This window comes from Homo sapiens, chromosome 14 (genome assembly GCF_000001405.40).
Source record: "Homo sapiens chromosome 14, GRCh38.p14 Primary Assembly".
NCBI lineage: Eukaryota > Metazoa > Chordata > Mammalia > Primates > Hominidae > Homo > Homo sapiens.
This window is the reverse complement of record NC_000014.9, coordinates 82,055,766-82,078,331: the sequence shown is the minus strand read 5'-3', so window position 1 is coordinate 82,078,331 and position 22,566 is coordinate 82,055,766. Positions and strand designations below refer to the sequence as shown.

The following is a 22,566-nucleotide window of genomic DNA, read 5'->3' as shown; positions in this document are numbered from 1 at the left end:
AACCCTCTGATAAAGTCCATAAAGATCAGCTGGGGCAGAGAATATGGAGAAGAAGCATAAAGAGTGATTCTAGGTGGATTTTTTTTTCAATGGGGGAAAAAATCCAGCACAGTTTTTGTTATTTCTTTTGTAAAAAGTTACTAACAACCCAGCATGAGATTTCTTTAAATTCCCACAGGTTTATAATTCTCCTGGTCACCTCTGAATTTAATACTCTATTTTGGTTTAATTCTGATGTTCATTTTATCACTGTTTCATGTCACCTCATACTTACAACTTGGCTGCTTTCCCTCGATTTCTACAACCACTGCATGAGGCTTGTGTGCACAGAACAGACTTTACTCAACAATCAGAGGGAGGTAGGAAGGCTTAGGCCACAACAATGAAACAAATGTTAGAGTTCCATTTTCTCCAAAGATTCTCAATCCTTCCCACCAATTTGAGCACTGGTTCCCTGCCACATTTTTGAATCCTTTTCCTATCCGCCATCAAGTCCTAAATTAAGACCCATCTTAAAAAATAGTTGAAGAAATTTTAGAAATCACATAATCCCCAAGCCGTGCTTCTCATGGATTCATACACATTTCACTTGCTTCTGTTTCCTTCCCCTTATCACACTATCCTGTAATTTCTTTAATTATCATCTCTCTGCTCCACTAGGCTCCAGGCATTTTTTGGAAAGCTGAGTCATAATCACATCTAGACATCCAGGGTCTACCATCATACTTAAATATAATAGGCACTCTGCTAATGTTTAATAAATAAACATGTGATTCCAGGATTTGGGGTACTTCCCACCACACACACAAAAACCATTCATCATGTACAGACATAAAAACTGAGGCTTTTAGAAGAGAAATAAGATGCCTCAGGTCCACAGAACAAGAATTGAGATATATGATCTCTTCAGATTTAATATTCCCTATGATACTCTGCAACTCCAACAGTTTACATATAAATGTGTTAATGAGTTTCCTTGTCCTTCTCACTCTGCTATAAAACACCTCATCAATTTTTTTCTTAACAAGTTAAATTTAAGAGGAACAAATTAGGGGAAAGTTCTACTGACAGAAAAAAAAATTCCCTACATATTGTTTTCATCAACGTGTAAATTTGTTGTATTTGCAATATTAATTAATATTAGAAACCAAAATTTAATCTCTGTAATTGGTACTAAACCAGAAGACAGGAAAGGAATCAATGCTTGATGATAGGGATTTTGCCCCCAAAGGATCCTTTTACATGTAATGTTTAGCCCAATACTGTTTTCTTTGTGTGAGGCAGCAAAGAAGCAATTCTTACAAATGGTATATTTTGTTTTCCCAGTGAAAATTCATGAAGAAAACTTTTTCAATATTTCAAAACATCTCGATGCAAATCTGTTAACTTTTACAAGGCTTTTTTTTTTTGTGGTGGGAGTGGATTTCATCAGAGAATGTTGCTTATAACTTCATTATTACTGATCATTTTTGTATGACTGATTAATCACCTCCTCACCTAAAATGAGTTGGATATTTTCACTCAACTATTCACACCAACAAAGTGAAAACACAACATCATCTTCTAGAAGTTTTATGCCTCCAGGTTAGTCATACTACCAGGGATTCTATGGAAGCTACCAACTATGGAAAGAGAACCTTCCCCTCTGTGTTACCTCCTGCAAGCCCTTCCTCTACACACTATATTGTAAAAACCCTTCCTCTGCCCATTGCCTTGCATTATCTACTTTATTTTATGAGTATTATAGACAAAATAAGAGAAATATTTTAATGAGAAAATCACTCTTGAAGTATATTTTTCAAATATCTACATTTGTCTCTGGTTTATGCTTGGCAGCATAAAAACAGCCTTTAACTACTTTTCTTGTCACTTCTTCTTGGTTGACTTTTTCTTCCTTCGATCTCACCTTGTATGTGAGAGCATAATTCAAATATATTCGGCTTATTATCAAATTCATTAATCAGAATCTGCCATGGTGGAGGCAGGTAATCTGCATGTTTGAAAGGACCTCCAATAATTGTGACAACTAGCCAGGTTTGGAAACAGACTCACTAAACCCCAAAATGCACCCATGTAACCACTAAAACTAATTGTGAAATAGTTACGTGCATGTGTTATTTATTTTTCTGGAGAGAGGATGACTTCCCTTTTTGAGATTCTCAAATGTACCTTCAAGAATGGGATAGCACATGAATTAAAATAACTCATATGCTAAAAGATTTTGGGTATTTTAAGAGCTCATGTCTCTTGAGTTGAACCAAAAATAGAATCAACTTTCCTAAATTCTGTTCTCTGTTTACTATGAAAAATTATTTTTCCAGAGTACATGGGTCTAAAGAACCGTAACAATAATTTTTACCCTATGCCAAAAAAAGGAGTACTTCTAAAGGTATCAGTTAGCTTATACTCCTTTCTTAATTGACCCTCTCAATACACGTGTCCAATATAATTTATTCCTTCTATGCCAGTACCCACACTGGACCATATAATCCCTTCCACAGCCATCTATTTCCCAGCATTTACACCTGACTGCCGTGCATTTGAACAGGCTGGTGCTGTCCAAGGTGCTGAGCAGGAGGTAAATGGCTCAATGCACCATCAACTCAGTGCTGCACTACGCAGAGGAGGAGCCTCTTTCTAATTCACATAAAAGTGATTCAGGTGGAAGCAGTAACTTTGCTTTTGCCTCCTCTTTTTTCTTCCTACTGGGGGAACAGCATATGCATATCCAAAGATAATGAGTCATATGTAACCTGTCCCCATTCATCTGAGAGCCTTTATCCTTCTTGGGTTTTTCCAAGTGTAAAAATTTTGTGAGTTTATTTCTACTTTACTGCATTAATCACAATAAAGTCAGAGTTGAGATAACAACAATACTGAAATCTTCCTACTTAGTAATCAATAAATTCTATGATATGTTTTGACTTTTGATAAATAACTTAAATTTTCATTTGATTCTACTTTTTCATCTCTAAAATTAGAGTAGACACCTCACACACAGGACAGTGGGGAGAATTGAAAAGATCATATACAAGAAAATATTTTGTTAAACCAAATAAATAATATAAATATAAAATGGCATTAATATTATCAATATGATTATGATAAAAATTTACTATTGGAAGAGAGAATAGTGTTTAGAAACATGAGAATACAATGAGAATAAGCCTCAATGAGGCTTATTGAGAAAGTAACAAGAAAGTGACAAGAAATGACAATGAGACTTATTCACATTGTATTATCATATTCCTAAGTATTAACCTCAAAGAGCTTACAACTCAGTGAAGGACTTAAGACAATCTATATAAATAATGTACCATAGATTAGAGTGGCATAAAAAGTATCAGTTGAGTCAAATGAATAGTAAGAGCAAAAATCTAATCATTGGACTAATGCAGTCCAAGAAAATTCATGGAGGATGCAGCAGCTAAGGTATATTTTAAGAGATGGTTAGGATTTAGGTAGAAAGAGTAGTGAGAAAGCCTGAGAACTGTTACTTTTAATTATGATACTTTTCCTTCCCCACCAAGTTTTTCTGCTAAATAACATTCCAAATATTTAAAAAACTCCTGATCCTCCCAGGCAAAGTCATTAGAAGCATAGCGTAATGATACTATCAATAATAGGCAGATCAGGATTAATAAGAGAAAGGCAATTAGAGAAAATGAAAGGTCACATTGAAACTGTCTTGGCTTAGAGCTCTATTATTGTGTCAGAGTGTTGGTTGCCTTATCATATCCACCTTGCTCATGGCAAGGGGTGTGTTGAAAAGTTTGTTCTAAAAAAAAGTGAAGTTAATAAAAGGGATATTTTCTATATGGATGTGTCCATTGGGCATGGAGTAGAGACAATTATCTCCAAATTTTTAGTCCTTTTTTAGAATCTCACAGCTTAGAGAGGCTCTCCTCAGTGAACTATTCTGCAGAGCACAGGCTTCCCTTCCTATTTAGCATACAATTTATGCCTCAGGTGTGGGCATATTTATGAGGCCTAACTCAAATGCTGGCTTGATAAACAACAAACTGTAGGCTCTCTATTAGCAAGCCTGCAAAATTATTGTAGGCTTGTTATTATGATTATAATAAAGTATTTGGGCACAAAATAAAATGAAACAGCTTTGGATTCATATAGGCACAGAGAATCATAAAGAATTAGGAAAATTCCTGTTAACAAAAAGACTCCATATAACATAGCTTATATTCCAACATTTCTATATAACTCATATTTCTAGGAGCATGTGATATAATTCATGGCAAGTACATTTTTTGATAAACCAATGATTATCCTTCAAAGGAAAGCAGGAAGGGAGCACAAAAACACCGTTAGTCATTTTTACCTCAGTCTTTCTTGTTCTCTTTCTGATGATTCTCCTGTAACTGGTCATCTGCAGTCTCATGAGGCCTCCTGAAAGAATAAATCATCAAAATATTTGTTGAATGAATAAGTAAATAAACAAATACATAAAAAACAGAGATAGTGAAAGCATTTAAACCTGAAAGACACATGATTATGAAATCACACTTTCCTTAGCATTGGTAACAACAGCAGCAGCAGCAGACCTAGCATTGATTGAGTGCTTACTATACGGCAGGCATGATGCTTTTATTTTTACACTGAGTAACGATTAATTACTATGACAAACTCTCCATGTGGGTTCTATTATTATGACTATTTTATAATAAGGAAACTGTGGCTCAGTAACTTGTCAAAGGTCACACAGCTCACAAATAGCCAGACCAGAATTCAAAATCAAACCCATCTAATTCCAGAGTAGATCTCATAACCTCATACAGTTTCTATTTCTATTTATTTACATTTCACAGACAGAAGATTTCTGGGCATGGAGCAAAAAAGGACAACAGAGAAAAGCATGGATTATTTGGAAGATGGGACAGAGATTGCAAAAAAAAAAATCCTTGTATAGAAACCTGAATTGTAAATTTAGGTAAATAAATGCATAAGACAAGCATACTATATTGAATGGGAAACAAACTACAACTTGTATGCACATACTCTATGCAAGATGTTACCTAGTTAACTTCAATCTGATTTTGAATTATATTTTGCAAGCTTCTTCAGTTATGGTTGCCATCAGTAGTAAGAATATCGACAATTCTTAATAAAGTCACAGACTCTGCAGGGCATCCACACTTTAACACTGAAGTAAGAAGGAGAAGTCCCTGGAGTTCATGACCGTCTTGTTCCCAAGAACACATGGTGATATACTTAGTAGCCTGAATTATCTTTACTCTTCATACAGTGGTGACATTTATTGTGACATAAATGAACTATTTCTAGGCACCAAGAGGAACGTTAATCATTTATCCTGGTGTTATCCTCTGGTTTATGCTCTAGAAGCTTCAGTCTAATGCTCTTATCCATTGCCCACTTCCTTGCCCCACCCACTTATCATCTACAAATAATTGAACCAAGTATTTTTGAGTGAAAGGAAACTCCTCTAGAGTTCAACTGAATTAACTTGGAATAGTATCTAACCAATTGCGCCTCTGTTTCCTCAGCTATTAAGGAAAACACAGTGTGACAAATTAAAAAGGAGGATACAATAAAAATAGTCTTTCCAACTGCCTTTACTCTGGTTTTGAGGAAATTGCATCAAATAATATAGAAGGCAATATAAAAATGTTAGCTGTTGTGTGGAGATAAAAATACGCGGGTGAAGGAAGATTTCCATTAACGATTTTTCCAAACATTTTAGGAGATTGGGTGACAAAACACTCCTGCTTTTCCCATTATCATAGGGCCCCATTTCATGTAGCTAAGCAACACCAAATAGTGACTTAGCTCAGTATCAGGTGATGTGATATAAACACCTGGAATAGTGCCTGAAGTCCCCTATGATATTAAAGTGCATTTTTCCCTGACTCTTAATTTTTTAAAAAAGTGTTTAAGTATCAGTGTATAGCACAGTTTTTCTATTACAGCTAAATTCACTACTTCTACTAAAAATTTCTAGTGACAGTAGATAGGAGAATAAGGTGGGTACAGGGAAAAAAGACTATTCAAAGACGGCAAATTTTAAAAATAAAAAAAGTATTTTTTATAAAAGGTTTTTGTTTTTGTTTTCCCATATATCATTGTTAATTTTTTGCTTCTGTACATTTTCTGAGTTTGCCAGTAACATTACCAATATGAGGCAATTTTTATTCCTGTTATTAACAAATATCTAATTATGAACCAAAATACTTACATGATTTTATTTATCAACCCCATTTTAGAGATGAAGACTATTATGCTGAACCAGTATTTAAATATGGATTTGTCTTGCTCTGAAATCTGAACTCACTTCATTCTGCTATACTATGGCCAAAGCATAACATTGAAAATGACAAATTGTGAGGATATTTCTTATGAAATTATCAGTGCTTGGTTAACTGTATAATTTTAAGTTTGTTATATTCTTGAGGACTAATCTTTTTATTCTCCAGGGTTTAATTTTGGTTGGATCATACTTCAGAAATTATAGTATAAATGAGGGAAAGATGGTTATCATACAATAATCTGATTTACAAACCTTTGAGTTCAATGAAATATATTTATCATTGAATTTTCTTTTTCTGCAATATATTAACACGCAAAACTGAAATATTGTCTTTTAAAGATGTGTTTGCCTACTGAGAATCTCACAGGTTTCTGAAATAACGAAATCTTGCCTCTGCCTGAAAGTATCTCTGTAGACAGACAAGAGCGAAATGAAAACAAAAATAGATGTTTTTCCATGAACAATAAGTGTTTCATCAAAAGAACAAAGAAACAGAGCTCTAAATGCTGGATTTTCTGCTTCCCTGAGATGTTACAGATCTGCAGAGAATGACAGGTTCTGAGGTTTCCATTCTGAATTTTAACCTTGTGACATGTCCTTACCACACTCCAGACATCTGAGGAACACAGGCATGAGAAATTATATTTATTGATTGTCCTCTATATGGAACACAGCTAAATATATATATATATAACAATAAACTACAACTTATGTGCACATACTCTATGCAAGATGCAAAGATTATATATAATATATATATCTTTGTGTGACACAAAATTTATCAGTTTATGAAAAAATGTTAAAGTACATTTCTCAACTATAACTTAAGAAGGAAAATATAATAATCCATTTATTATTACATCAATACATAATGAGATATGCAATGCCAAAAGAAACTAAATGGATCCTTGCTGGCAAGACTTGTTTTTACTTAGAAGGAAAGCATCCACATATCCCAAAAAGGGATATAGGGATAGTCACCATGTGAGAAAGAACAATGGCAGAGATTAACTTGGCAGTGAATATCCAGGCATGAACGAGGGAAAGGGATCCTTATCAAATAAGCACAGCTGTCCTGGTCACATTGCCAAGTCCTTCCCCAAAGGGAAGGTGGACAATAGGATTCCAGCCAAAGCACTTCGCATTCTCCAGTCCCAAAGATATGTCTCAGGGTGTCTCATCCTGTTGCCATTCAGCAAAGCATTAATCTAACTGCCCTTGTTCAGAGTCAGTGTTCTCGAAACTACCTTCAGCTGTGATTTGTCTTTCCAGGTTTGTCTGTTGGCTGGTGGAAAAGAAGGTGCTTGGGGAAATGTTAAAGATTTCCACCTATATGTTAGAATTTTATTTTTAATTATTAATCAGTATACTGGAATCTTGATTACAAACTATTTCCTAAGCCTGTCTGTCAATAGACAGAAAATGGACTGGTCAGTTTGACATGTCTTCCAGCCAACAAGAGAGTTCTACATCTCATTGGAAGTTGATGAATCATCATTGTAATTTCATGCATCAATCTCCTATCTTGATTCACATGAGTGTAACCCAAAAAAGGGACATGATATCTGAGAGCTGGATTCCAAATCTGCAACCTGAAAGCTAAGCCCTGAACCTTGGTATTTGCTGAGAGTGTCCTGTGCCTGCTGTAGCAAATTACCAGAAACGTGGTGGCTTAACACAACACACATCTAATCTCTTACAGTGTTGTAAGTCAGAGGTCCAAGTCAATTTCACTGGGCCAAAAATCAAGGTGCCTTGAGGCTCATGCTCCCTCTGGAGCTCTATGGAGGAACTGATTTCCTTGCCTCTTCCAGAGTTTAGATCTGCATTCCTTGCATTTGTTGACTCTTGGCCCCTTCCTCCATCTTCGAAGCCAGTGTGTAGCATGCTAATTCAGTGATCACGTTGCCTTCTTCTTCTGTGTCAAACTCTTCTCTGCCTGCCTCTTATAAGGATACTTGTTATAGCACTTAAGTCTCACCCAGATAATCCAATATAATCTTGCCATCTTGAGATCTACGATTTAATCACATCTGGCAGATCTTTTTTGTCATATGTAGTAAGAGTCACAGGTTCCAGGTATTAGGATATGGGTATCGTTTAAGGCCTATTATTCAGCCCACCACACCTTTTTTTTGAGGCCTCTCCAACTAAAACCTGCTGGATGTATCAAGAACTGAGTACATACCCCTTTCTGCATTTGTCTGGCAGATCTTTCAATATTTTCTTTGAAACTCTACAAGCATTAGGTATCAACCAGGGTTCCAACAGAAAACAAGATTTGTCTCAGATGGTTCAAAGGAGTGTGTAGTGGACAAGATTAAGAAAACAAACAATGGCTGGGCATGGTGGTTCACGCCAAAGTAATTCCAGCACTTTAGCAGGCCAAGACAGGTGGATCACTTTAGCTCAGGAGTTTGACACCAGCCTGGCCAACATGGCAAAACCCCATCTCTACTAAAAATACACAAATGAGCCAGGCATGGTGGCATGCACTTGGGGTCGCTGCTACTCAGGGAGGCCGAGGCACGAGACTCAGTTGAACTTGGGAGGCAGAGGTTGCAGTGAGCCAAGATCACACCACTGCACTCCAGCCTGGGCAACAAAGTGAGACCGTGCCCAAAAAAAAAGGAAGGAAGGAAGGAAGGAAGGAAGGAAGGAAGGAAGGAAGGAAGGAAGGAAGGGAGGGAGGGAAGGAGGGAGGAAAGGAGGAAAACAATAAATATAAGACACTCAAACATCAGAACATTAGCAACAGTGGGATACTGTTACTTGACTTCCTGGGGCTTTGGGGCACGGAGAAAAAATGATGTCACTGGAGCCCAGTGAGAATAGCAACTATGGAGTAGGTTTCACTCAACAGGAGATCTATCAGAACAGAACAAAGCTGCTGCTGTGGTTGCTAAAGTAGGGAGGGGAAACAGGTACAGTGGCCTGTGCCACTGTCCAGTGTGCCAGTGTCCTGGCTACTCCTACTCAAGAGGCTGAGGTTGGAGAATCACTTGAGTCCAGAAGTTGGAGTCCAGCATGGGCAACATAGTTAGACCCCATCTCTTAAAAGAAAAAAAGCCAGTTGCAATGGCTCATGCCTGTAATACCAACACTTTGAGAGGCCAAAGCAGGTGGATCACCTGAGGTCGGGAGTTCAAGACCAGCCTGGCCAAAATGGTGAAACCTCATCTCTACCAAAAATACAAAAATTAGCCAGATGTGGTGGCACACGCTGTAATCCCAGCTACTCAGAAGGCTGAGGCAGGAGGATCCTTTGAACCCGGAGGCAGAGGTTGCAGTAAGCTGAGATCATGCCACTGCACTCCAGCCTGGGCAACAACAACAACAAAAAAAAAAAAAAAAAAGGAAGGGACAGAGTGACAAAGAAACACCTGAACACCTAGACTTCTCTCTCCCCCTACTGATACCTCCATAGTCTAATCTCAATCTGAAGTCAGCCAGCAGGTGAGTCCAGGGGGTACAATCACAGGGACCAGTGTATCCAATGCAGAGCAGGACAGAGAAAGGTAGAAACTGGATGAAGCCTTGGTAGGTGGGAGGAGTAATAGCTACCGTGCATATTGTCCCAATATTATCTATACAAAAATGAGACTCCAACCAAAGCAATGCGATATGTGGCTGATCCAAAATTTGAAGCCATATCTGAGTCTTGAACATCCCCTATATTTCTCTCAAGGCTTTCTACTATAACATTTAGAATTCAAATTTGCCTCATTTTATATATTTGCCTTTGAACTGTTTAACAGCAATCAGATGATAAAGAATCATTCCTGATATTTATAACCATTAAATATATAAGATTTTGTTATCTCCTCATTTATGATCTCAAATTGGTTTGAATCGTCCTCTCACTGTGCCTCTCCCCCGGCATTACTCCTCTTGCTTGAAGAAAAAATGTCCTTATTATATTCAATATTTCATTCTCATTGCAAACTCTGAATCAAGAATAATTAATTTCTATATTTTTTAGCTCCATGCCACGTTCAAAATAGTTTAAGTTTCTTCTGTGATGGGTCTCAGTTTCTAAGGATGTTCTGCTTGCTCACCAATGCTCACATAAAAATATTGATTTACACCCAGAGTCTACAAAGAGATCCATTATATTTTTGGTCTCTGCCTGATTTCTAGATCATACATTTCCCCATAAAATACAAAGTATTTTAACCAACCACTCTTTCCTATTTCTTCCAGGCAGAGTTAATGCACTCAGTCTGACCTCCTTCGGAGCACTGCCTGCTGTCTTCTTGTCTAAACTGAAGCCAGTTCTTATCCACTCATGGAATCTTTCTCCCCTACTCTTTTACTGGCATCCTTGGCTCATCACTCCTGTCTCATATCTCCCCACTCATCACCGTTTTAAAGAGTCTGCATTGAGTGTCACTACATCTGCTGCTTGGGAAATTAGAGCCTTGCTCCAAATCTTAGGCACCATTAAAAAAAAAAAAGAAAAAGAAAAAAAAAAAAACCTTTTCCCTTGCCCGTTTCCTGACATCGCCTTGCAGCCGGAAACTCTCCCAGAAGAGAAGGGGAGAGGAGCAATCAATAGCGTCTCTAAACAGAAGATGCCATTGGCAAAGAGGTAGCACTCAACCACTGCGGTGAACCGCAGGCTTCTGATTAAGACACCCGTGCCAGCCTGATTGAGCTGCCTGTCCGCACCGCATGCAAACCAGCCACTTAACCCTCCCTCCCTCTGCTGCCTTATTCCCCTCACAGAAAATAGAGCACTCAAAGAGAAAAGTGGTGCTTGGGTCTGCAGAGAGCTTAAAAGGAATTACTGACAGCTGAGTGTTCTCTCTGAATTCAGATTCTGCAATCAATTAGGAGAGATTTCATAGATATGATGATTGGAAATGAAAACTCCACATTAGGTCACATTATCCAGACTCCTTGTAGCCCTCCCCATTAAAGAAAGCTAGCTCCCAGTGGTCTGTTCAACTTCACTCAGTCCAACTCTGGACAATTCAGGTGCATTCCCCACACTGAGGACCTTTATGTCACAGTCAAAATTTGCTTCACAGCAATTAACATACAGCCAAATTTTGAAACATGAAATTGGAGAATAGGTCTGGTGAATTTACTTAGGGTCTTCCCAAGGCAAGAAATGTTCAGGCTAATTCCAGTTTTTGAGGCTTCAGGTTTATATTAAATACATACATCAATATATAGTATATAGTATGTTATATTACATACAGAAATGTCAAAACAAAATTTCAAAAGTTGTGGCAAGTTGTAAAAAGCTTGTAATATGTGAACAGGCTACTGTGATGGTCGAATTTAGGTGTCTGCATAGAGGGATACCTAGAGGAATTTTTGCCTGCATAAAGGGATGCCTATATGGCTGGTGAAACCGTTTCTAGGTGTGTTCTTGAGGGTGTTTTCTAGGAAGATTGGCCTGTCAATTGGTGAACTGAATGGGGAAAATCCACCCTCAATGTTGGTGGCCACCATCCAAACGGCTGGAAGTTTGGGTGCAACAAAAAGGTGAAAGAGTGGCTCACGCCTGTAGTCCCAGCACTTTAGGAGGCTGAGGTGGGAGGATCACTTGAGCTGGGGAGTTTGAGACCAGCCTGGGAAACATAGCAAGACTCTGTGTCTACAAAAAATAAAACTAGCGAGGCGTGGTGGCACATGACTGTAGTCCTAACTACTTGAGAGGCCGAGGTAGAAGGATTGCTTGTGCCCAGGAGTTCAAGGCTGCAGTGATCCATGAGTATAGCCACTGCACTCCAGCATGGACAACAGAGTGAAAGAAAGAAAGAAGGAAAGAAGGAAAGAAAGAAAGAGAAGGAAAGAAGGAAAGAAAGAAAGAGAGAGAGAGAAAGAAAGAGAAAGAAAAAGAGAAAGAGAGAAAGAGAGAGAAAGAGAGGAAGGAAGGAAGGAGAAAAAAAAGGAAAGAAAGGAAAGAAAAAGGAAAGAAATGGTGAATTATTTCTCTTTTTTGGAGCGGGACGCCCTTCTTTACCTGCTCTTGGACTTCACAACTCTAAGTGCTTTTGCCTTTGGACACTGGGACCTGCATCAGTGGCTTCCCAGGGCTCCCGGGCCTTCCACCTTGGACTGAGCCACACTACTGACTTCTATGATTCTCCAGCTTGCAGATGGCTTATCTTAGGACTTCTCAGCCTCCATAGTCAAGTGAGCCAATTCCCCTAGTGTTTAGTCCCTTTTTGTGTTGCTATAAAGGAATAAGTGAGACTGAATAATTTATTTAAAAAGAGGTTTATTTGGCTCACAGTTATGCAGGCCATACAAGAATATCTCTGTGCCCCGATCCCTTATTTCCATGCCCTGACCTCTTATCTCTGCACCCCGATCCCTTATTTCTGCTCCCCCACCTCTTATCTCTGTGTCCCAACCCCTTATTTCCACACCCTGACCCCTTTCCCACTTTTCTGGAGGGTAAGAACCCCTGAACCCCTTCCCTCTGTGTCTCTATTCTTCTCTTTAAACTTGCCTCCTTCACTGTGGGCAACCTTCCACCCTCCATTCCCCCTTCTTCTCCCTTACCCTGTGTTCTTAAAAATCTAAAACCTCTTTAACTCACACCTGACCTGAAACCTAAATGCCTTATTTTCTTCTGCAATGCCGCTTGACCCCAATACAAACTCAACAGTGGTTCCAAATAGCCAGAAAATGGCACTTTCAATGTTTCCATCCTACAACATCTAAATAGTTCTTGTCGTAAAATGGGCAAACAGTCTGAGGTGCCTGACGTCCAGGCATTCTTTTACACATCAGTCCCTCCCTAGTCTCTGTTCCCAATGCAACTCGTCCCAAATCTTCCTTCTTTCCCTCCCGTCTGTCCCCTCAGTCCCAACCCAAGCGTGGCTGAGTCTTTCTAATCTTCCTTTTCTACAGACCCATCTGACCTCTCCCCTCCTTGCCAGGCTGAGCTAGGTCCCAATTCTTCCTCAGCCTCCGCTCCTCCACCCCATAATCCTTTTATCACGTCCCTTCCTCACACCTGGTCCAGCTTACAGTTTCGTTCTGTGACTAGCCCTCCCCCACCTGCCCAGCAATTTACTCTTAAAAAGGTGGCTGGAGCTAAAGGCATAGTCAAAGTTAATGCTCCTTTTTCTTTATCCCAAATCAGATAGCGTTTAGGCTCTTTTTCATCAAATATAAAAACCCAGCCCAGTTCATGGCTCATTTGGCAGCAACCCTGAGATGCTTTATAGCCTAGACCCTAAAAGGTCAAAAGGCCGTCTTATTCTCAATATACATTTTATTACCCAATCCACTCCTGACATTAAATAAAACTCCAAAAATTAAATTCCGGCCTTCAAACCCCACAACAGGACTTAATCAACCTTGCCTTCAAGGTGTACAATAATAGAGTAGAGGCAGCCAAGTAGCAACATATTTCTGAGTTGCAATTCCTTACCTCCACTGTGAGACAAACCCCAGCCACATCTCCAGCACACAAGAACTTCCAAACGCCTAAACCACAGTGGCCAGGCGTTCCTCCAGGCCTGCCTCCCCCAGGAGCTTGCTACAAGTGCCAGAAATCTGGCCACCAGGCCAAGGAATGCCCGCAGCCTGGGATTCCTCCTAAGCCGCATCCCATCTGTACAGGACCCCACTGAAAATCGGACTGTTCAACTCACCTGGCAACCACTCCCAGAGCCCCTGGAACTCTGACCCAAGGCTCTCTGACTGACTCCTTCCCAGATCTTCTTGGCTTAGCAGCTGAAGACTGACACTGCCTGATCGCCTCGGAAGCCTACAGGACCATCACAGACGCTCTGCGTAGCTATCACAGTGGAGGGTAAGTCCATCCCCTTCTTAATCAATACGGAGGCTACCCACTCCACATTACCTTCTTTTCAAGGGCCTGTTTCCCTTGCCTCCATAACTGTTGTGGGTGTTGACGGCCAGGCTTCTAAACCTCTTGAAACTCTCCAACTCTGGTGCCAACTTAGACAATACTTTTTTAAGCACTCCTTTTTAGTTATCCCCACCTGCCCAGTTCCCTTATTAGGCCGAGATATTTTAACTAAATTATCTGCTTCCCTGACTATTCCTAGACTACAGCTACATCTCATGCCACCCTTCTTCCCAATCCAAAGCCTCCTTTGTGTCCTCCTCTTGTATCCCCCTACCTTAACCCACAAGTATAAGATACCTCTACTCCCTCCTTGGCAACCAATCATGCACCCCTTACCATCTCATTAAAACCTAATCACCCTTACCCCGCTCAATGCCAATATCCCATCCCACAGCACGCTTTAAAAGGATTAAAGCCTGTTATCACTTGCCTGCTACAGCATGGCCTTTTAAAGCCTATAAACTCTCCTTACAATTCCCCCATTTTACCTGTCCTAGAACCAGACAAGCCTTACGGGTTAGTTCAGGATCTGCGCCTTATCAACCAAATTGTTTTACCTATCCACCCCGTGGTGCCAAACCCATATACTCTCCTATCCTCAATACCTCCCTCCACAACCCATTATTCTGTTCTGGATCTCACACATGCTTTCTTTACTATTCCTTTGCACCCTTCATCCCAGCCTCTCTTCGCTTTCACTTGGACTGACCCTGACACCCATCAGGCTCAGCAAATTAGCTGGGCTGTACTGCCACAAAGCTTCACGGACAGCCCCCATTACTTCAGTCAAGCCCAAATTTCTTCCTCATCTGTTACCTATGTCGGCGTAATCCTCATAAAAACACACGTGCTCTCCCTGCCAATCATGTCCAGCTGATCTCTCAAACCCCAGAACCTTCTACAAAACAACTCCTTTCCTTCCTAGGCATGGTTAGATACTTTCGACTTTAGATACCTGGTTTTGGCATCCTAACGAAACCATTATATAAACTCACAGAAAGAAACCTAGCTGACCCCATAGATCCTAAATCCTTTCCCCACTCCTCTTTCCATTCCTTGAAGACAGCTTTAGAGACTGCCCCCACCCTAGCTCTCCCTGACTCATCCTAACCCTTTTCATTACCCACAGCCGAAGTGCAGGGCTGTGCAGTCAGAATTCTTACACAAGGACTGGGATCGCATCCTGTAGCCTTTTTGTCCAAACAATTTGACCTTACTGTTTTAGGCTGGCCATCATGTCTCCGTGCAGCAGCTGCTGCCACCCTAATACTTCAGAGGCCCTTAAAATCACAAACTATGCTCAACTCACTCTCTACAGTTCTCATAACTTCCAAAATCTATTTTCTTCCTCACACCTGACACATATACTTTCTGCTCCCCAGCTCCTTCAGCTGTACTCACTCTTTGTTAAGTCTCCCACAATTACCATTGTTCCTGGCCCGGACTTCAATCCAGCCTCCCACATTATTCCTGATACCACACCTGACCCCTATGACTGTATCTCTCTGACCCACCTGACATTCACCCCATTTCCCCATATCTCCTTCTTTCCTGTTCTGCACCCTGATCACACTTGGTTTATTGATGGCAGTTCCACAAAGCCTAATGGCCACACACCAGCAAAGGCAGGCTATGCTATAGTACCAGCCACTAGCCCGCCTCTTAGAACCTCTCATTTCCTTTCCATCGTGGAAATCTATCCTCAAAGAAATAACTTATCAGTGTTCCATCTGCTATTCTACTACTCCTCAGGGATTATTCAGGCCCCCTCCCTTCCCTACACATCAAGCTCAGAGATTTGCCCCTGCCTAGGACTGGCAAATTGACTTTACTCACATGCCCCGAGTCAGAAAACTAAAATACCTCTTAGTCTGGGTAGACACTTTCACTGGATGGGTAGAGGCCTTTCCTACAGGGTCTGAGAAGGCCACTGCTGTCATTTCTTCCCTTCTGTCAGACATAATTCCTCGGTTTGGCCTTCCCAGCTCTATACAGTCCGAGAGCAGACTGACCTTTATTAGTCAAATCAGCCAAGCATTTTTTCAGGCTCTTGGTATTCAGTGAAACCTTTATATCCTTTACGGTCCTCAGTCTTCAGGAAAGGTAGAACAGACTAATGGTCTTTTAAAAACACACCTCACCAAGCTCAGCCACCAACTTAAAAAGGACTGGACAATACTTTTACCACTTTCCCTTCTAGAATTCACGCCTGTCCTCAGAATGCTACAGGATACAGCCCATTTGAGCTTCTGTATGGACGCTCCTTTTTATTAAGCCCCAGTCTCATTCCAGACACCAGACCAACTTGGACTATGCCCCAAAAAACTTGTCACCCCTTCTATCTTCTGTCTAGTCATACTCCTATTCACCGTTCTCAACTACTCATACGTGCCCTGCTCTTGTTTACACTGCCGGTTTAGACTGTTTCTCCAAGCCATCACAGCTGATATCTCCTGGTGCTATCCCCAAACTGCCACTCTCAACTCTTGAAGTAAATACATAATCTTTGCTGGCAGGACTATGCTGAATCTCCTTAGGCACTCTCTAATTAGATGTCCTGGGTCCTCCCAATTCTTAGACCTTTAATACCTGTTTTTCTCCTTCTCTTATTCGGTTTAGTTTTTCAATTCACATAAAACCGTATCCAGGCCATCACCAATAATTCTAAATGACAAATGTTTCTTCTAACAGTCCCACAATATCACCCCTTACCACAAAATCTTCCTTCAGCTTAACCTCTCCCATTCAAGGTTCCCACGCCGCCCCAATCCCGCTCGAAGCAGCCCTGAGAAACATCACCCATTATCTCTCCATACCATCCCCCAAAATTTTTGCCGTCCCAACCCTTTACCACTATTTCATTTTATTTTTCTTATTAATATAAGAAGACAGGAATGTCAGGCCTCTGAGCCCAAGCTAAGCCATCATATCCCCTGTGACCTGCACGTACACATCCAGATGGCCGGTTCCTGCCTTAACTGATGACATTCCACCACAAAAGAAATGAAAATGGCCTGTTCCTGCTTTAACTGATGATATTATCTTGTGAAATTCCTTCTCCTGGCTCATCCTGGCTCAAAAGCTCCACTACTGAGCACCTTGTGACCCCCACTCCTGCCCGCCAGAGAACAACCCCCTTTGACTGTAATTTTCCTTTACCTACCCAAATCTTATAAAACGGCCCCACCCCTGTCTCCCTTTGCTGATTCTCTTTTCGGACTCAGCCTGCCTGCACCCAGGTGAAATAAACAGCCTTGTTGCTCACACAAAGCCTGTTTAGTGGTCTCTTCACATGGACGCAAGTGAAAGCTCTCCAATTAAATTGGACTTAAAAATATTAAGGAGTCTACTTCCAATAATACAGAGAGCACTGATAGTCCATAATGTGAACTGTTTAAAAAGCTATCAAAAATATTTGTATTGAATACACCTCATCAACCACTTATAAGAGGCAAGGAACTTTTGAACATTTTTGGAAAACTGAGGAATATAATCTTATTGGTTGGTTGCTCCTATATTATTGGACAAAGTAATAAAAGAAACAGATGAGTTCAAGAATATAAATTTCCAGCTCCAGATGCACACAAATCACCTAAAAGCTTCTAAGTGTGCCCTTAACGAGAAACTTCTTCCCTGTAGCCACAGGATTGAATCTGCTGAAAGTCAAAAGCTATCACTCATCATGTGACTGCCTGAATTACGGTGAAAGTCGAATTCTCAGCCTTGCAGGGTATCTACTGTTAAAGTGAGAGCATTGATTGGGAAAGAATGGAATCCTGTAAGTTGAGATTGGAATGTGTGGGAAGATCCTGAGGAAACTAGGGACATTGAGCATTCAAATTCTGATGAGTCTTTCTTGCTGGATAAAGTGACTTCCCCACCCCACCCCTAGTGGTATTGGTCTTCCCTCCCCTGTTCTGAAGTAATTAACTCTTCATTGCCTTAGAAAATAGCTATGGCCTCTCCTGGGTTGCCAAGCAAGACAGTGCTGTTTCTCTTCAGGACCTACCTCCACCACCCCTCCTCTTTGCTTCTAGACTTATAACCAGACTCATGTACCAGCAGCCCCCAAAAGCGAGGTACAAAGTGCAACCCCTGAGGAGGTGTGCTACACTTCACTAAACTACTTGAGGTTTCTGTTTGTTTTTAATTTATTCAAGCAGAAATCTAGAGAACACATGTGGAAATAGATATTATGAGCGTGGGATAGTAGTAGAAGAAACATAAAGTTGGATTAGGCTGAATTTATTGATATGACCCACTAATCAGAGATTCTGCATTTATGTTGCAGCTGAAAGAGTTAGAAAAGGTGCTAACAGTTTGGTTGGTTGGTTGGTTGGCTGAAACATGAATCTTGGGGAATGACAGTGGATTATCATAAGCTTAACCAAATGGTGACTCCAATTGCAGTTGTTATACCAGGTTTGGCTTTATTTCTTGAGCAAATTAGCACAACTCTGGTACCTATGGGTGAATTGCAGCACAGGCCTTTAGGAGTTTGGAGAAAGGCCCTGCCATCATTTGCAGATAATTACTATCTTTTTGAGAGACCACTCTTGGCCTACTATGAAATGTTTGACAAAGTTACCATGCAACCTGATCTGCCAATCATAAACTGAGTTTGCTCTAACCCACCAACCCATAAAGTTGGATGTGCATAGCAGTACTCCATCACCAAATGGAAGTGGTGTAAATGTGATTGGGTCTGAGAAGGTCTTGAAGTGACAAGTAATTACATAAAGAAGTGGCCCAAATTCCCATAGTTCCTATACTTGCTCTCTTGCCTTCTCTCTCCCAGCCCGCACCTATGGGCTCATGGGGTGTACCCTATGATCCAACGACAGAACACTAGGACCTGGTTTACAGATATTCTGCTCTGCATATGCAGCTACTACCCAGAAGTGGACATTTGCAGCACTATGGCCTCTTTCTGGGACATTCTTTGTGGACTGTGGTAAAGAGAAATCTTCTCAATAGGCAGAACTTTAGGCAGTGAACCCAGCTGTATACTTTGCTTTGAAGGAGAAATGGCTAGATGTGTAATTATATGCTAATTCACGGGCTGTAGCCAACTGTTTGGTTGGATGGTCAGAGTCTTGAAAGGGACATGATTGAATATTTAATGACAAAACAAATTTGAGGAAAAGGTATGTGGATAGACACCTCTGAATGGGCAAAGGATATGAAGATATTTGTGTCTCATGTGTATGCTTACCAAAGGGTGACCTCAGCAGAGAAGGGCTTTAATTATCGAGTTGGTAGGATGACCTATTTTGTAGATACCAGTCAGCACCTTTTCCCAGCCACCACTCTGATTTGCCAGTGTGCTCATGAACAAGGTGGCCACGGTGAAAATAATGGAGTTGATGCATAAGCTCAGCAACATAAATTTCTACTCACCAGGGCCAACCTGGCTACAGCTATCACTGAATGCCCCAACTGCCAGCAGCAGAGACCAATGCTGAGCCCCAATATGTCACCATTCCTCAGGGTAACCACCTAGCTACCTGGTGGCAAGTTGATTACATTGAGCTGTTTCAGTCATGGAATGGGAAGCATTTGTCCTTACTGGACTCACTTGCTGTAGATATGGATTTGCCTTCACTGCATGCAAGGATCCTGCCAAAACTACCATCTACGGACTTACAAAATGCCTCACCCACTGTCATTTTATTCCACACAGCATTGATTCTGACAAAGAAACTTGCTCCACAGCCAAAGAAGTATGGCTTATGCTCATGCAATTCACTGGCCTTACCATGTTTCTGACCATCCTGAAGCAGCTGCTCTGAGAGAATGATAGAATAGCCTTTTGAAGATACAGTTACAGGACCAGGTAGGTGACAATATTTTGCAGATTGGGGAAAGGTTTTTCAGAAGGCTTTATACTCTCTAAGTCAGCATCCAACATATAGTAGTTTCTTCCACAGACAAGATTCACAGATCCAGGAATCAAAGGATGGAAATGGGAGCGATACCACTTACCATTACCCATAGTGACCCATTAACAAATATTTTCCTTCCTATTTCTGTGACTTTATATTCTGCTGGCCTGAAGGTCTGAGTTCCAGAGGGAGGAATGCTTTAAGCAGGAGACACAATGATTCAATTGAACTGGAAGTTAAGGTTATCACCCAGCCATTTTGTATTCCTCATGACTCTGAGTCAACAGGCTAAGAAGGGAGATACACTATTGGGTGGAATAATTGATTCAGACTACAAAGTGGAAATTGGACTACTACTCCACAATGAAGGTAAAGAAGAGCATGTCTGGAATACAGGAGATCTCTTAAAGTGCCTCTTAGTCTTACCATGTCCTATAATTAATATCAATGGGAAACTACAATAACCTAATTTAGGCAGGATTACAAATGAGCCAGACCCTCCAAGAATGAAAGTTTGGATCAAACTGCCAGAATAAGAACCATGATTTTCTTATGGTTCTTAAGAAACATAAGAAACAAGTAGCTACCAAAATGTGGTCAGTTACAGAAATGAGAATTGTCATTATCATAAATATTTTCCCCCTGTATTGCTAAGGATGTATTTATGTGTTTATATATTCATATATTAAGAAAATACCTTTTTCCCTCTCACTCGTTTATCATACAATATAAGATTTATCAACTTTGTACCAGTATTTAGGTATTGCTAAATTTACATAATAGTATTTAAATTATGGGATATCAGGAGAACAGTAAACGTCACCCAAGAACTTTACCTCCTCTTCTGGGGATGGAATTATTGCATTTTTTATTGTATATAAGATAGCTGTATCATGTTAAGTAAAACTGTAACCTTGTTGTTGTCTTTATTTGCAGATTAAGTATAATTTAAGGAGATGCCGTATGGGTGCTAAGTTGAGAAGGGGTGGTCTCGTTATGCTTAATTTTAGGTGTCAGCTTTACTGGAGAGAGAGATGCCTCCATGAGTGGTGAAGTGTTTCCGGGTATATCTGTGAGGGTGTGCTCCACAGGAGATCTGCATGTGAGTCAGTGGACTGAGCGGGGAAGATTGTACTCAATGTGGGCAGCTATCATCCAATGAACTGTGGGCCAGGATGGAACCAAAAGGTGAAAAAAGGATGAATTCTCTCTCTCTCTCTTCCACCTGGCCCCTCCCCCCACCCCCACCACCCCACCCACCCCTTCTGGAATAAGTCACTGTTCTTCTCCAGTACTTGGACATTGAAACTCCAAGTTCTTCAGTCTTTGGACTCTGGAACTTGCATCAGCAGCCTCCCAGAGCTCTCAGGCTTTCAGCCTTAGACTAAGTTACACCATTGGCTTACTCGGTTCTTGGGCTTTCCAACTTGGACTAAGCCATGCTGCCATCTTCTCTGGTTCTCCAGCTTGCAAATGGCCTATTGTGGGACTTCTCAGCCTCCATAATTGTGTGAGCCAATTCCCCTAATAAATCCCCTCTAATATAGCTACATATCTATCATCTATCTGTCTATCTATCTATCTATCTATCTATCTTCTATTGGTGTTCTCTCTCTGAAAAACTAATACAGCAATATATTTTTACATTAATATACTATATATTTACATATGTAGAATATATGTTAGCTATATATTTATATTTATATACTATATATTGAACTGATCTGCACTATAACAGTGTAATATATTATACTTGCTCTGTGAAAGACATGGATTCGCCACTGTGAGAGGGAAAAGATAATAACTGGCATTTACATCTTGTAAATGTTATTATCCAAGCATCTTGTATATGATTAAATTTCTCTGAATCATTACAGTGTGGATATCATTAACCCATTTTGCAGGAGAAATGAAAATGTAACTTGTTCATGTAATTTGTTCTAGTTTTTGCTACTAGTGAACAGCCCAGCTAGTGTTAGAACCATGTGATTTGTTCATTGACAGGGAGACAAAGAAGGATAGCTGTGTTCCCTGCCATCTAGTAACTTACAGTTACGTTGTGGAAATAAGACATACACAGTAAAAGGTTGGATGATAAAACAAAACCATATAAGAAATGTCCTGGGTAATAAAAATGACTAATTCCATAAAGAACAGTATAAACAATAAGTACGTGGAGTTTGGCAGAAAGAGAGCTTCCTTTCTTTCAATTGCTCCCAGCCATGCTGCCTGAAATCCTCTTCTCCATTTTCTCTTCCTCCTAGGTGTTTATATTCACCACAAACCTCTGGGCAATTATTCTTCCCCATCAGCTTGTCATTTACTCAAGTTCATTACACACTTGGCCTCTGACAGTTCCTAAGAACGCAATACTTTCAACCTGCCACAGACCATATTTTCTTTCATTTTGCTGAGCTCTTTCCAACAGCCTTACATCTTTCTGGAACTCTGCCTCTCCAGCAAGCAAAAGAAACAAACCAGATAAAGGAAATCAAGAGTGGTCTGAAATAAACTTTCTCAGTTCTTCTTCTGCTTTCTGTATTTCATAATTGGGGTAT

General features: G+C 40.4%; 1 long non-coding RNA gene across 1 annotated transcript in view, besides 2 other annotated features; it reads right to left on the bottom strand.

Moving 5' to 3' along the window:
- Positions 2,480-2,680: a silencer, noted in NCBI's record as "peak2224 fragment used in MPRA reporter construct". NCBI's record gives its function as "represses an SCP1 promoter by STARR-seq MPRAs in K562 erythroleukemia cells {active_cell/tissue: K562}" and the evidence as "EXISTENCE:reporter gene assay evidence [ECO:0000049][PMID:32103011]".
- The window catches only part of LOC107984704 (uncharacterized), a 336,950-nt gene continuing 318,569 nt past the window's right edge, over positions 4,186-22,566 (bottom strand). The window contains exon 4 of the long non-coding RNA XR_007064292.1: positions 4,186-4,404. This is a non-coding gene — a long non-coding RNA (uncharacterized LOC107984704). The remainder of the gene's footprint in view (positions 4,405-22,566) is intronic.
- Positions 17,612-18,173: an enhancer, noted in NCBI's record as "OCT4-NANOG hESC enhancer chr14:82526503-82527064 (GRCh37/hg19 assembly coordinates)". NCBI's record gives its function as "activates a minimal SCP1, AML or CMV promoter by ChIP-STARR-seq in naive H9 embryonic stem cells {active_cell/tissue: H9 hESC(naive)}" and the evidence as "EXISTENCE:reporter gene assay evidence [ECO:0000049][PMID:30033119]".